General features: G+C 35.8%; 1 gene segment (V, D, J or C) and 1 further gene, besides 4 other annotated features; both read left to right on the forward strand.

Annotated features, from left to right (window-relative positions):
• TRA (T cell receptor alpha locus) overlaps nt 1-15,139 on the forward strand; it is a 930,229-nt gene that overhangs the window by 581,766 nt on the left and 333,324 nt on the right.
• Nucleotides 3,865-3,916: a sequence feature (TRAV34 leader sequence).
• Nucleotides 3,865-4,460, forward strand: TRAV34 (T cell receptor alpha variable 34). The segment is given in 2 exon segments: nt 3,865-3,916; nt 4,176-4,460. Coding segments are annotated over 2 exon segments (337 nt in total), but the record flags the coding sequence as incomplete, so codon positions are not given.
• Nucleotides 4,176-4,183: a sequence feature (TRAV34 leader sequence).
• Nucleotides 4,468-4,490: a recombination feature (spacer).
• Nucleotides 4,491-4,499: a recombination feature (nonamer).

A 15,139-nucleotide genomic window follows, 5' to 3' on the forward strand; every position in this document is an offset into this window, starting at 1 on the left:
AAGAATTTTCCCGGACGCTTTCTTTTAATCAACTCTTGCTTTCCATGTAGACCTCACTATAAAAGATGAGAACCATCATCTGGTAGTCCCAAAGCATTTCTTCATCTAGCCCCAGGCAAGTGCCTGGGCTTTGAATATTATATCACATTAGTCCTTCCAACCTCTCAATAATTGAAATGAATTTCAGAAATTGATTCATTTGCCCTTACGAAAAATTTGAAATTTTATTTGTTACTCATCCATAGCACATACTCTTGGGATATAGATGATTTCTGGAAGGGAGCAAGAAAGTGGTGGATATGTGAATATTGATTTCATTTTTTAAATCTATGTTGAAATATCTCTATTATTAAACAAAAATACACAAATCTTTTTTCATTGTAAAAGATTCAAACTATTAAGTATGCGAAGTAAAACCTTAGAGGCCCAAACTGACTGTCTCCATCTCCATCCCATTTTCTCTTCAATTCCTACAATAACCCATTTTGACAGTTTGGAGAGTGCCCTGATGATCATACTCCTTTTCATTTATGTGGATACTCACATAAATATCTACCCAATTTTATTACATAAGTTGGAACATACCATGTGTATTTGTCTGCAACTTGCTTTTATTTTTATTTAAAAATAGTTTTTTGAGGTGTGTTCATACCGAGATACATGTGTATGCATGTGTGTATAAACTGGCCTTATTCTTTTCAATATCTACAAATGTTCACAGTATGGTTGTATAATAATTTTACTTACCTCACCTATATCATCTCTACATATATAAATATATATGACATATGTGTATGTGTGTGTGTATGTGTGTGTGTGTACATATTCCTTATAGATTCCGAAGTGGAATTACTGGATCAAAAGATATGCCTATTTTATATTTTTATAGATATTGAAAAGTTGCATTCCAAAATGGCTTTAACAGTCTAACCCAAGATCAGGAACATGGCAAAAATGTCTACTCTCACCGTTTCTATTCAACATTATCCTAGAGAATCTAACCAATGCAATGAGACAAAAAGAAAAAGGAAACCAGGCTTTACCTATTACAGATTTGTGAGTTTTTCTTTTTTGGAGGATGGAGAATGAGGGTTGGTGTGCTATTTGAATTTTTCCCACAGATCTAATCTGGCATTTGCCTTTACTTTGGATACTTCTGTTCAATTTGTTTTCAAAAAATTGGAAGCTTTTTTGGAATAATTTCAAGAGTCGTTCCACATAACTTCTCCTAATAATGTTATGAGTAAATAGTAATTAATATATTCACCCAACAAATTAAATCTTTAATCTGTGCCAAATCCTATGCTGTACAATGAATGACATGGGCTTTGGGAACTGCCTTCAAACATGGGAAGAACAAGATACCACGGAAAACAAAAGGAATATAATAATTGAGAAAACAACACAGAAATAATTATAAAAGCTCCGAAGTGACTGAAAATAATTCTGTCTTTCTTAGGGAATTGTGGTAGCAAGCTCTTTGCTAAGCCTTGTTCCTAGAGGGAGGTAGCACATCCAAAATAATCTATCTTTAGACCTGAAACACAAAACCCTGAAAGATCGCTAACTTGACTTTATGGTAAAGGAAACCATATTTAACTTTTTAAAACGTAACTCATTTTGCAAACAATAGAATTGTCTGTGTAGCAAATCCTATAGACAAAAAAACTACTGTAACCAATAAATGAGTTAGATAAAATTGCAAGATACAAGCTCAATATACAAAATAATGCTGCTTCCATACAGTAACACTAAACAAGCAGAATTGAAATTTATATAGATATGCATATGTATATTTATGCATTTATATATTTATGCATACATATGCATAAAAAACTTTTAACAAAATTTTAGCAGACTGAATCTAACAATATATAAAAAGGATAATACATAATAATGAAGTGGGGTTCGTCTCAAGAATGCAATTTATATGTATATGAATTTCAATTCTGGGCCAGGCACAGGGGCTCATGCCTGTAATCTTGGCACTTTGGGAGGCTGAGGCAGGCAGATAGCTTGAGGCCAGGAATTCAAGACTAGCATGGCCAACATGGCAAAACCCTGTCTCGACTAAAAATGAAAAATTAGCCAGGTGTGGTGGCACACACCTGTAATCCCAGCTACTCAGGAGGCTGAGGCACGAGAATCACTGGAACCTGGGGGGCAGAGGTTGCAGTAAGCCAAGATTACACCACTGCATTCCAGCCTGGGCAACAGAGTGAGACTCTGTCTCAAATAAATAAATAAATAAATTTCAATTCTGGCGTGTGTGTGTGTGTGTGTGTATGAATACACTTGACAGAAGTTGTCTAAGGCCTGTACACTAAAAGATATAAAAAAATTCTGAGATACATTTAAGATCTAAATAAATGGAAAGAGTTATTGTGTTTGCAGATTAGAAGACTCATTAAAATTCTCTCCAAATTGACCTACAGATTCAATGTCATTCAAATCAAAATCCCAACAGAAATTTTCATAGAAATTGACAAGTGGGTCTAAGATTTATATGAAAATGCCAAGGGACTACAACAAAAAAATTCTTTTTAAAAAACACAAATTGAGGAACTTACACTACTGATATGAATACTTTTATAGTTACAATAATCAAGAGACTATGATATTGATATAAAGATAGACAAGTAGAACATTGGAACACAATAAAGGATCCAATAATAGGCCAGCATGTACATAGTTGATTTTCAACAAAAATACCACAACAATTTGTTATGAACTGAATATTTGTGATCTCCCCTGCAAATTCATGTGTTGAAATCCTAACCCCCAGTGTGATGGTATTAGGAAGTAGGTCTTTGAGGAAGTGATTAGGTCATAAAAGTGTAGCCATCTTGAATGGGATTAGTTCCATTCAGTGAAACCCTAGAGAACTTTCTTGTTCTTTCTGTCATGTGAGGACACCACAAGAAGACTGCCATCTATGAACCAGGAAGCAGGCCCTCACCAGACATGAGATCTTCCAGCCCCTCGATCTTAGACTTCCCAGCCTTCAGAACCATGAGAAATAAATTTCCATTGTTTTAGTCACACAGTCTATGGTATTTTGTTATGGCAGCCCAAGCTAACAAACACAATCTCAAAATAAATATGCTGAAAGAAACCGGACGACAGAAAGCAGATACGGTATGATTCTGTTTACATAAAACTCTAGAAAATCTATAGTAAGAGAAGGCAGACTAGAGATTGCCTGGGGTTGAATAGGCATTGGGATGATATATTGGAAAGGTATACAGAAAGGATTAACAAGGAACACAAGGAATAGAGACACAAGGAAACTTTGGGGAGTGGTGCATATGTTCTTTATCTTGATTGTGATGATGATTTCACATTTGTATGACCATGTCAAAAATTATCATATTGGACCTTGTAAACATATGTAATTTGTTATATGCAAAGTGTACCTCAGAAAAGTAGTTTTTAAGAAGGCTCAAAACAAAAGTAGACAGAGATAAATATTGAAAAATAATCACTCTGTACTATAGAGAACAGAATTTTTTACTTTCTCTTAATTATGGAGGGTAAACTTTCTCAAGCATGCAAGGGTAACATATGTTATGAGATTATATTTTCTTTATCTCATAAGTGGCATATTTTAATGCAATAAATAGATCTATGTCATATATAAATTAACTCCAGAAAACCTGTCCATTATTCAGCATTTCTCAGTCTGGCCAAAGAGTGGCAGTGTTAAAAAAGTATTTGAGTAAGATTGTACAGTGCTGAACAAACAGGAATCCAGGTATGGCTTCTGATTGGTGCAATCTCCTGCACCAATGAGCAAAGTAACTTCTGCTGGGGAAGCTCATTCAGTAAAATCTGATTTAACTGTGTTTTCTAAATAGCTAAGGGATGGAGACTGTTCTGCAAGTACTCCTAGGGATATTGGGGTTCCAAGCAGCCTGTGAGTATGTGGTTAGTCTGGGAGAATTGCGAGATGGTGACAGCATCCTGAGGGCAAGAGTCGAGTCATCTTCTGTTCTGGGAAGGCCCGTTTGAGAGCCAGATATGTGTTGGGAAAAAAAATGACAATACTTTGTTTTAATGTGACAATTCTGCTGCCTAGGGGAAGTGGGGAGGGGGAGAAAAACATCATCCCTACCATGACCATGAAAATCTTATGAGGGTCTTCTGTATTTTCTTTACATTGTCTTTTTGAACAGGGGTCAGTAGCCAAGAACTGGAGCAGAGTCCTCAGTCCTTGATCGTCCAAGAGGGAAAGAATCTCACCATAAACTGCACGTCATCAAAGACGTTATATGGCTTATACTGGTATAAGCAAAAGTATGGTGAAGGTCTTATCTTCTTGATGATGCTACAGAAAGGTGGGGAAGAGAAAAGTCATGAAAAGATAACTGCCAAGTTGGATGAGAAAAAGCAGCAAAGTTCCCTGCATATCACAGCCTCCCAGCCCAGCCATGCAGGCATCTACCTCTGTGGAGCAGACACACAGCGATCTTCAGGCCTCTATCAGCTGTCTCCAAACCTGCAGCTGGGCCACATATGCTCTTCTGACATGGGGCTCCTGAGATGTGGCTGGGACCTTTGCCAAGACATGAAGTCTCAGAACGTTGCAATTGTCTTATTGGAAAAATGGGGAGGAGAGTAGGAATGATACAAGGGGGAGCTATATCACTAATCCCAAATTTAATTTGACTTTATTGTCTGGTAGTTATGTTACTTTTTAGTAGATGGAACATCAAATTCGAATGAGAATAGCATGAATTTCAGTGATTTATGCAAGAACTATGCACGAATATTATGTCCCTGTTGTGCCAAGGAACTTCTTTCCCTTTGCTATTTACCCACCTTGTTAATAAAAAGAAATTGTGCATTGTTTGTCAGATTCTTTGTCACAGATTAACATTGTACCAAGAGTGTTAGAATATCCATACTGAGGAGTCATGGGCAATAGTTTTTTCTAAGTTTGTAGTATAGATATAGAAAAAGACAAATGTTTAGACAGATAAATAGGTGATAGATAGATTATAGGAAGCTAGATTATTAGATAGATGATAGGTAGATAGATAGATAATAGGTAGATTAGATAGAGTGAGCTAGAGAGAGGGGAATATATTAATAAATATCTAATGCAGTCTTAGACTGGCCTCCACTTCTCTTCTCATTGTGCTTTCATTCATATTCTAGTCTCAGTATTCTTCTGGCCACTCCAAATTATCAGCTTAAAGAATTGTTTCCCAGTTGTCTCAGTATGAAGTGGAGAAGATGTTACCTTCATCCTCCACTCCACATCAGAATAGTGCTGGCCTACAGTGGGTGTTTACAAGTATTAAACTGATACTGAATAACTGATAAGATCATAGGTTAGAGAGAAATAATTCACATGTTTCTTAAAAGCTATGTGATGTTGACCAACAACTTTAACTTTACAAGTCTTTATTTTCCCTCTGTAAAGATGATACAATCATATTATTTTATTCATATGTTCTTGTTAGGATGAAGTAAGGTTATAGATTACATACATTAAGTATCTGGTGTATTGCAAGCCCTCAATATTTGAGATAGTATTTTTACTATTAATCAAACAATGACAATTTCAAGTAAGTCAAAATTCTCACATAAAAGTAGGGAAGTTGATCAACATGATATGGCTTCAACCTAACTAGGAGATGTTCTATTCTTTAAATTTAGAAAAGAAAGGAGGAATATAATGGTCTCCTGTCATCAGAAACTGCCTAGTGACCTGGTTTCAAAAGAAATTGCATGTAAAATGGGAATGATCATTTATGTTGGCCAAAGTCAGGGAAGATTTTTAAAAATCAAGTCGAATTAGATTATTTTCTGTTTTAAAGAAATGTTACCTATACCACCCACTGGGAGAAAAGTTTGCTAAAATAAACAGGAAAGAGAGAAAAGAGAGAAGCCCATGAAAGAAAATGTTTGGCAACGTGATAAGAGGAAAAGCAAGCAGGAAATAAGAACATAAGTTTCTGATTTTCATGAAATGTTCCGAGTAAAGTGACACTTACCTATGTGTGTAAATATGCATATACATATACAAATCTCAAACTAAAGAGTGTACATATTTGCATTTTAACCTAAAATCAAATTTTTCTAATTGGAAAATAATATAAAGATATTGTCTCCAGTAGAATGCTGGGAATATTAAGGGTTGAAAGTATGAAGATAAGTAGTCATAAGGATGTTTAGAGATTAACCTGCCATGTCCCACAAGGCTGGTAAATCAATGTTATCAGGAGAAAGAAACTGTTAAATTCACATCAGCGTCTTAGGTCAGCCTAAGCAAATAGGTTATATGACATGCAACTTACCCTTCTCCTCTTTTTTTCTCCCCCATCAAAAGCCAATTTCCTATTCTGAGAAAATAATTCACCTTCTCCAGTGATTCTGCCTCAGAATGTCCAGCAAACTGAACAAGGCTGAGCTCCAGACATTGGTTTTGATTCTGGGCAGCAGAAATTTCCCTATGGGAGAAGATGCCAGCATGACTTTTCCTAGTGTGCAATGAGCAGCGACCAGCTCTGTCTACCTCCTTAGGGATAGCCCCTGATAGGAATGCTGGGGTTGAGCAAGAGGAAGAGTGAGTGATTAGAAGAAAGAAGGCAGGAACCGAGTTTCTTTTCCTCCTGCCTTGAGTGCAAGGTTTAGTTCCTTTTCTAACAGCTCTTGGCAATTCCATTATAAATCAGGTGAAAGAATTAGTCTGATTTTTGTTTGTTTGTAGGGCCTAGCATGTCATAGAAAGCCACTAAATTCTAATCAGCAATATCTGGACAGTAAGGGAGATTGTGAACTTAGTTTTCTTACAGGACATAGGTATTATAATTATTATTGTGGTAAAAATTTCCTCCTAGCAGGAAGATAATTTTTTTGTGTGCTTTGGGAATCACCCAAAAGTTTTCCACTGCAAAAACCAATGGAATAAGGAACTGATATTTTCTAAACCTTCAGTAAGTGGCTAAATCTATCAGGCTTATCTATTCACCCCCATAGTGAGAATTCCTTGCAATATGTGTTTGTGGCATTCTTATAGATACCACAGTCAGAAAAAAAGGGGATGGATTAAAATAAGCAGAAAAATTTGCTACATTCTGTGCTAACTTTAACCCCATATAAATGCTGTCTTATAAGTAGATCTATTAAATAGGGCCATCCATAGCCACAGCCTTTCATATTTTAAGTAAATATCACAACATAATATTTTCATCAGAAAACTTGTCTCCAATTTCTAGAGCCTTTTGTTACTCCTGGCACTATCTTAGTAGGACTTTAGTGTGCCAGATATGAGCCTGCTAGATTTAAGTCAAATAATGATTTATTCTTATGCCCTCTTCTCAACTGTGTTGATCAAATTCATAAAACAAATGTTAGCCTTAAATTCCTTACTTCACTTCCTTGTCTTCACTTCCTCTGGGACATAGTCTTGTCTTGTCTAGTCTAGTCTTATGCTGCAGCCTTGACAACTTGCCAAGATAAAAAGTTGAGAGTTACGATAGTAGAAAGAAGAGCTACAGAGAATAAACAGAATGAGAAAGTATAAAATATGATTAAATGGAGTTCCAGAAAGAGGAGAGAGGTGAATGAGGCAGAAACAATATATGAAGAGATAATGGATGAACAGTTTTTAAAAAATGGATGAAAGACATCAATTCACAATTCAAGAAGACAAAAACATTCCTGGGCAATTTATATAAAAAGAAGTGTAGTGTGTGTGCATGCATGCGTGCATGTGTGTGTGTGTGTGTTCAGAGTAAAACAGCAGAAAATCTTAAATCAAGAAGAAAATCTTAAAAATCAAAGGGGAGGGTGAAAAAGACTGTTTTCAAAGAAGTAAACTGACAGCTGACTTCTCAAAAATAACAATGGAAACCAACTGAGATTTGAATTATTTTTCAATGTTCAGAGAGAAAATAACTAACATCAAATTTTGTATAAAGCAGAGCAATTCTTAAAATAAGAAATAAAAGCATTTAAAGAAAATCTGCAGAATTTAACGGTATATTTTCTCTAAAGGAAACTCCACAAGTAGATGGAAAGGATGAGGGCCTGGATTATACTGCACCTGCCACCTGTGTGGTTGTGCTCAAAGAACAGAACCTCTTTGGGATGGTTTCTAAATTTCAAAATAAAGATGAGGTATTCTCAGCTAGTCTCACTGTATTTTATTAATTGAAACACCATATGTGAAACAGAAGACTCTAATGCAAACGTAAAGAGATTTGTTACTAAAACCTTAGGCCAAGCTTTGGATGTTCTTAAAAGGGCAATGGCAGGAATGAGAATGGGGAAAATGATCTATCCTCAGTGAGTTGTAGGACTTAGAGAAAGCCTCAAGGGCTGTCATGTGTTTTATCATGTCCTGAGAAACAGGTTTACAAATATTAGCACCTCCTTACTGTGCTGGATAATTCTATTCGGTTTCCTCCAGCAGTTTGTGATACCCCCTATGTGTAGAGTGGGTATGTAGGGGGCAAACAAAGGACTCATCTGTTCTTGCTGCCGGCAAGCTGTAGCCACATCCAGTTGGCTCTCACCTCCCAAATAGCTTCAAAGAGAAGCAAATCATATTCAACAGTTTTTGTGGCAGAACTCATCCTGCAGAATTTTTAAAAAACTTGTTTTATCTTATGGCCTTTGATAAAAGTTCTGAACCCAGGGCCAGTTGTAGCAGAATATGGACATATGAAAAATCTGCCTTTAGTCTCTTGCCATTCCTTCACCATTGCCTCCCACCTATTCTACTGCTCCTGCTTTTTACCCAGCCCCTAGTAGTATTCTATGATGTTTTAATACTGTTAGCCTGCCCAAAGCCTGATATTTCTAGTCACTGAATTGCTCTTCAGAACCTTCTCCTACACTATTGAGTAGATATATATCTCTCTCCACTCAATCTCTAAAATAAAGTGGTTTATAGCCTAACTTACTCTCAATGTAATGTTCTAGGTTAGGTCTCCCTGGACTGTTTGTATTTGAAAAAGAGGAGATTCCAAGAAAGTCTCCTCAAAGATACATTCTCAGTTACGGTGGCAGTAGGATAGAAAAGATGTTTTTATTGTAAAATACTCTTTCCCACACTTCTCAGCCATAGTGTAGGCTGCCAGTGTTTGGTCAGTTCCCATCAGCAGGAACACAGGCAACATACTGTTAGCAATTTTTTTTTTTTTTTTTTTTTTTTGAGAAGGAGTCTCGCTCTGTCGCCAGGCTGGAGTGCAGTGGTGCCATCTCAGCTCACTGCAATCTCTGCCTCCTGGGTTCAAGCCATTCTCCTGCATCAGCCTCCTGAGTAGCTGAGATTACAGGCATGTGCCACCACACCCAGCTAATTTTTGTATTTTTAGTAGAGACAGGGTTTCACCATATTGGCCAGGATGGTCTCGATCTCTTTGTCAGCAGTTTTTAAAACATATGTTTTTATTCCAATTATTTTAGAAAGATAACATAATTCAGAGGAAAAAATTAAAGATTCTATTGCTTGAAAATACATAGAACAATATTCTATTTAACTACACCTTGTCTATGTTTAGATACACAAAGACTCACCATTGTTACAATTACCTAGAGTATTCAGTACAATAACATCCTGTGCAGGTTTGTAGCCCATAGCCTATCGTGTAGCAGGCTATACCATCTAGACCAGTACGCTCTTATAATGTTTGCACAATGGCAAAATTGCCTAATGATGGATTTCTCAGAACGCCTGTAGTTGAGCAAGGCATGACTATATCAGTAAAACTTCTACATGAAAGAATAGGCAGGGGAACTAGTTTGTCTAAGAAAACATATGAAAATTTAACTGTTTCAGAGGCAGCACAGTCAAAAAAGTAAAGGTTTGTAATCTTAGATATCACTCAAATACTAGTCCTCCTACTTCCAAACCAGATAACCTTGGGCATGTGACTGAATCTTTCTGAACTTAGATTCATCTGAAAAATGAATACCATCTATTTCCTAGAGTGGTAAAGAGTCCCATATGCTACGGGACTTAGGATTGCTTAGGATTGCTAAGGATAGCTTTGGCTATTCAAGCTCTTTTTTGGTCCCATGTTAATTTTAGAATTGTTTTTTCAAATTCTGTAAAAATGAAGTTGGAGATATATGAGATAAACAATACACATTACCTGCCACATATTAACTAATATATATAACAAACATTATGTAAATGACAAAGAGTACTAGGTACTCCCAGGACCTTTTATGATCCTCAGAATATTTTTTTGAGGTAGGTATTATTATCTTGCTTTTATTGATGAGTAAACTGATTTTCAGAGAAGTTAAGTAACTTGTTCAAAGTCATGCAATTAAGAAGTGGCAGAGATGTGGTAGTTTTTGTGATAGAATTCTTTTCCTTTCCCTGCCTGTTGAACGGTCTGCATTTAGACATTTCTTTAAATTATTTTCAGTTTCTTTCCCTTCGTCCCCACAAAGAGCACTAAAGGTCATGGTAAGGTAGGATCATTTGAATCATGTTATGATCTTCCTAACATGAATGACTCCTGGCTTTTCCAGTTAACAGGTAGTGGTCCATTATGCTGTGGTTATATTTTCTGCATGTATGATGATATAACGTAACTGGCCAGGCACAGTGGCTCATGCCTATAATCCCAGCACTTTTGGAGGCTGAGGCAGGCAGATCACCTGAGGTCTGGAGTTCAAGACCAGCCTGAACAACATGGAGAAATGCCATCTCTCCTAAAAATACAAAATTAGCTGGGTGTGGTGGCACATGCCTGTAATCCCAGCTACTTAGGAGGCTGAGGCAGGAGAATTACTTGAACCCAGGAGGTGGAGGTTGTGCTGAGCCAAGATCATACCATTTCACTCCAGCCTGGGCAACAAGAGCAAAACTCTGTCTCAAAAAAAAAAAAAAGAAAGAAAGTAACCAAAAGACTGTCACTTACTTGCCCCATGACCCCTGTTACATAGCCTTTGAACCTCAGTTTGTCATAGAAAAATGAAGAAAATAGTCTCTCCCATCCTATTGCTTTTTACTGTATTAAATGTAAATGTATATGGTTCTTTAAATGTTATGTATTATTCAGATTTATTACAATAATTGTTATGTAAATGACATCTATCTGATAATAGAATGAGGTCTGGAGTTCAAGACCAGCTTGACCAACACGGAGAAATGCCATCTCTACTAAAAATACAAAATTAGCTGGGTGTGGTGGTGCATGCCTGTAATCCCAGCTACTTGGGAGGCTGAGGAAGGAGAATCACTTGAACCCAGGAGGTGGAGGTTGTAGTGAGCCGAGATTGCACCATTTCACTCCTGCCTGGGCAACAAGAGCAAAACTCTGTCTCAAAAAAAAAAAAAAAAGAAAGTAACCAAAAGACTGTCACTTATTTGCCCCATGACCCCTGTTACATAGCCTTTGAACCTCAGTTTCTCATAGAAAAATGAAGAATATAGTATCTTCCATCCTATTGCTTTTTACTGTATTAAATGTTAATGTATATGGTTCTTTAAATGTTATATATTGTTTACATTTATTACAATAATTGTTATGTAAATGACATCTATCTGATAATAGACACAGCATATTACTCTATTAACTGCATATACAGTAAAAACACAGTATAGAAGATTTTAAGATAATCTGTGTCTATTTTTGTATCAGTGACATGCTGTTTGGGTTACTATAGCCTTGTAGTATAGTTTGGAGTCAGGTAATGTGATGGCTTTGTTCTTTTTGCTTATGATTGCTTTGGCTATTTGTGCTTTTTTTGTCCCATATTAATTTTAGAATTGTTTTTTTCAAATTCTGTAAAAATGATGCTGGTAATTTGATAGGAATTACATTGTATCTGTATATTGCTTTGGGTAGTAATTTTAATTATATTGATTGTTCCAATCAGTGAGCATGAAACATTTTTTTATTTGTTGTATCATCTATGATTCCTTTCATCAGTTCTTTGTAGTTCTCCTTGTAGACATCTTTCATCTCTTTGGTTAAATGTATTTTCTAAGTATTTTATTATTTGTATGTGTGGATATCATAAATGGAATTGAGTTCTTGATTTTTTTCTTAGCTTGGTTGTTATTGGTGTATAGAAATGCTACTAATTTTTGTATGTTGATTTTGTATCCTGAAAGTTTACTGAAGTCATTTATCAAGTCTAGGCATCTTTCAGAAGACTGTTTAGGGTTTTCTAGATATAAGATCATGTCATCAGTGAATAGAGATAATTTTAGTTTCTCTTTTTTAATTTGGATGCCTTTTACTTCTTTCTCTTGCTTGATTGCTCTGCCTAGGACTTCTGGCACTATGTTGAATAGAAGTGGTGAGAGTGGACATCCTTGTCTTGTTCCTGTTCTTAGAGGGAATGCTTTCAAATTTTCCTCATTGGGTATGTTGTCATGGATGACCCTTATTTGTCATAGTTTTTTTTTATTATTTTGAGGTATGTTCCTTTGATGCCTAGTTTGTTGAGGGTTTCTATCATAAAAGGATGTTGGGTTTTATTGAATGCTTTTTCTGCATCTATTGAGATGATCACATGGTCTTTGTTTTTAATTCTGTTTACATGGTGAATCACATTTATTGATTTGCATATTTTGAACGTAGACCAATGGAACAAAATAGAGAACCCAGAAATAAAACCATATACCTACAACCAACTGATCTTTGACAAAGTCAACAAAAATACACAATGAGGAAAGGACATCCAATTCAATAAATGGTGCTGGAAAAACTGGATAGCCATATACAGAAGAATAAAACTGAATGCATATCTCTCACCATATTCAAAAATTAAGTCCAGATAAAATAAAGACTTACATGGAAGACCTGAAACTACAAAAATCCTGGAAGAAAAACTAGGAAAAACTCTTCTAGACATTGAACTAGGCAAAAAAATTTATGACAAGATCTCAAAAGCAAATGCAACAGAAGCAAAAATAGACAAGCAGTACTTAATTAAACTAAATAGCTTCTATACGGCAAAAGAAATAATCAACAGCGTAAATAGACAACCTACAGGATGAGAGAAAATGTTTTCAAACTATCAACCAACAAAGGACTAATATCCTGAATCTATAAAAAAACTCAGACAACTCAACAAGAAAAAAACAACCCCATTAAAAAATGGGCAAGGGACATGAACAGATATTTCTCATAAGAAGACATACAAGCAACCAGCAAACATGTGAGAAAATGCTCAACATCACTAATCATCAGAGAAATGTACATCAAAACCACAATGAGATACCTTCTCACATCAGTAAAAATGGCTATTATTAAAAAGTCAAAACACAAACAGATGTTGGCAAGAATATAGGAAAAAAAAGAATGCTTATACACTCTTGGTGGGAATGTAAATTAGTACATCTATGGAAAACAATATGGAGATTTCTCAAGGGATTACAAATAGTACTACTATTCGACCCAGCAACACCACTGCTACCCAAAGGACTACAAATAGAGCTACCATTCAACCCAGCAACAGCACTACTACCCAAAGGAAACAAAATTGTTATGTCAGAAAGACACCTGCTCTTGTGTATTTATCACAGCACTATTTACAATAGTAAAGTCATGAAATCAACCTAAGTGTCCATCAATGTATTATTGTATAAAGAAAATGTGGTATATATACACCGTGGACTACTACACAGCCATAAAAAAGAATAAAACCATATCTTTTGCAGCAACATGGATTTAGCTTGAGGCCATTATCCTAAGTGGAATCACTCAGAAACAGAAAATAACGTACTGCATGGTCTCACTTATAACTGGGAGCTAAACAATGGGCACTCATGGGCATATAGAGGGAAATAATAGACAGTGGAGATTCCAAAAGGGGGAATGATGGGAGGGTTGAAAAATTACCTATTCAGTACAATGTTCACCATTCGGGTGATGGGTACACTAGAAGCCCAGACCTCACCATTATGCAATATATCCATATAACAAACCTGCACACAAATGACCTGCATCGTAGTAACAGTAATAATAAATATCAAAATTATATGCTTGTCTAGGGCACTTACAATGAATGGGGCTTGCAGGACTGGAAGGTGCTCTGTGTAATTCAGCAAGTGAGTAAGAGGTCAGTGAATGTAAAAGCCTAGGACAATATTATACACTGCTGTAGACTTTATAAACACTATATACTTAGGCTACAGTAAATTTGTTTAACAATAATTTCATTTTCTCAAGAATAAGTTAACCTTACCTTACTGTAGCTTTTTTTACTTTATAAACTTTTAATTTTTTTAACTTTTTGTCTCTTTCATAATAGCTTGAAACACAAACACATTGTATAGCTATACAAAACAATTTTCTTTTTTATATCCTTATTTATATCCTTTTTTATATCCTTATTCTTTTTTAATTTTTTTTTCTATTATTTAAACTTCTGTACTAAAAACTAAGACACAAACACACATATTAGCCTAGGCCTACACAGAGTCAGGATCATCAGTATTGATGTCTTCCACCTGCACATCTTGTCCCACTGGAAGGTCTTCAGGGGCAATAACATGCATCAGCTGTCATCTTCTATGATAGCAATGTCTTTTTCTGGAATACCTCCTGAAGGACCTACCTGAGGCTGTTTTACAGTTCAGTTCTTTATAAGTAGAAGGAATATACTCTAAAATAACTATTAAAAGTATAGTATGGTAAACACACAAACAGGTATTACCGTTTATTACTATCATCAAGTACTATGAACTGCACATAATTGTATGTACTATACTTTTATATGATTAGCAGTGCAGTAGGTTTGTTTACACCAACAACACCACAAACATGTGAGTAATGCATTTGTGCTACGATTTTACAATGGCTATAATGTCACTAGGTGATAGCAATTTTTCAGCTCCATTATAATATTATGGGAGCACTGTCATAAATTGTTGATGGAAATACCATTATATGGTGCGTGACTGTATAATAAAACCTGTTCCAGTTTGAACCATTGGCCAGAGACACCAACAGACACAATGTAATCAAGATGTAGACCCCAATGTCAGCCTTCTAGACACAAATGAAACAACACCCAACTTAGCTCAAGAACACTTTCTAAAAGCAGGAGGCTCCAGTTCCCCAATCTGTGGGAACAAGGAGAACCACAGTAAGTGAAGAGGAAAATCATTATCTCTGAACTTGTCAGAAGAAAAATCCCATCAAGGAATGCT

The sequence above is a fragment of the Homo sapiens genome, chromosome 14, assembly GCF_000001405.40.
Source record: "Homo sapiens chromosome 14, GRCh38.p14 Primary Assembly".
In the NCBI taxonomy this organism is placed as follows: Eukaryota; Metazoa; Chordata; class Mammalia; order Primates; family Hominidae; genus Homo; species Homo sapiens.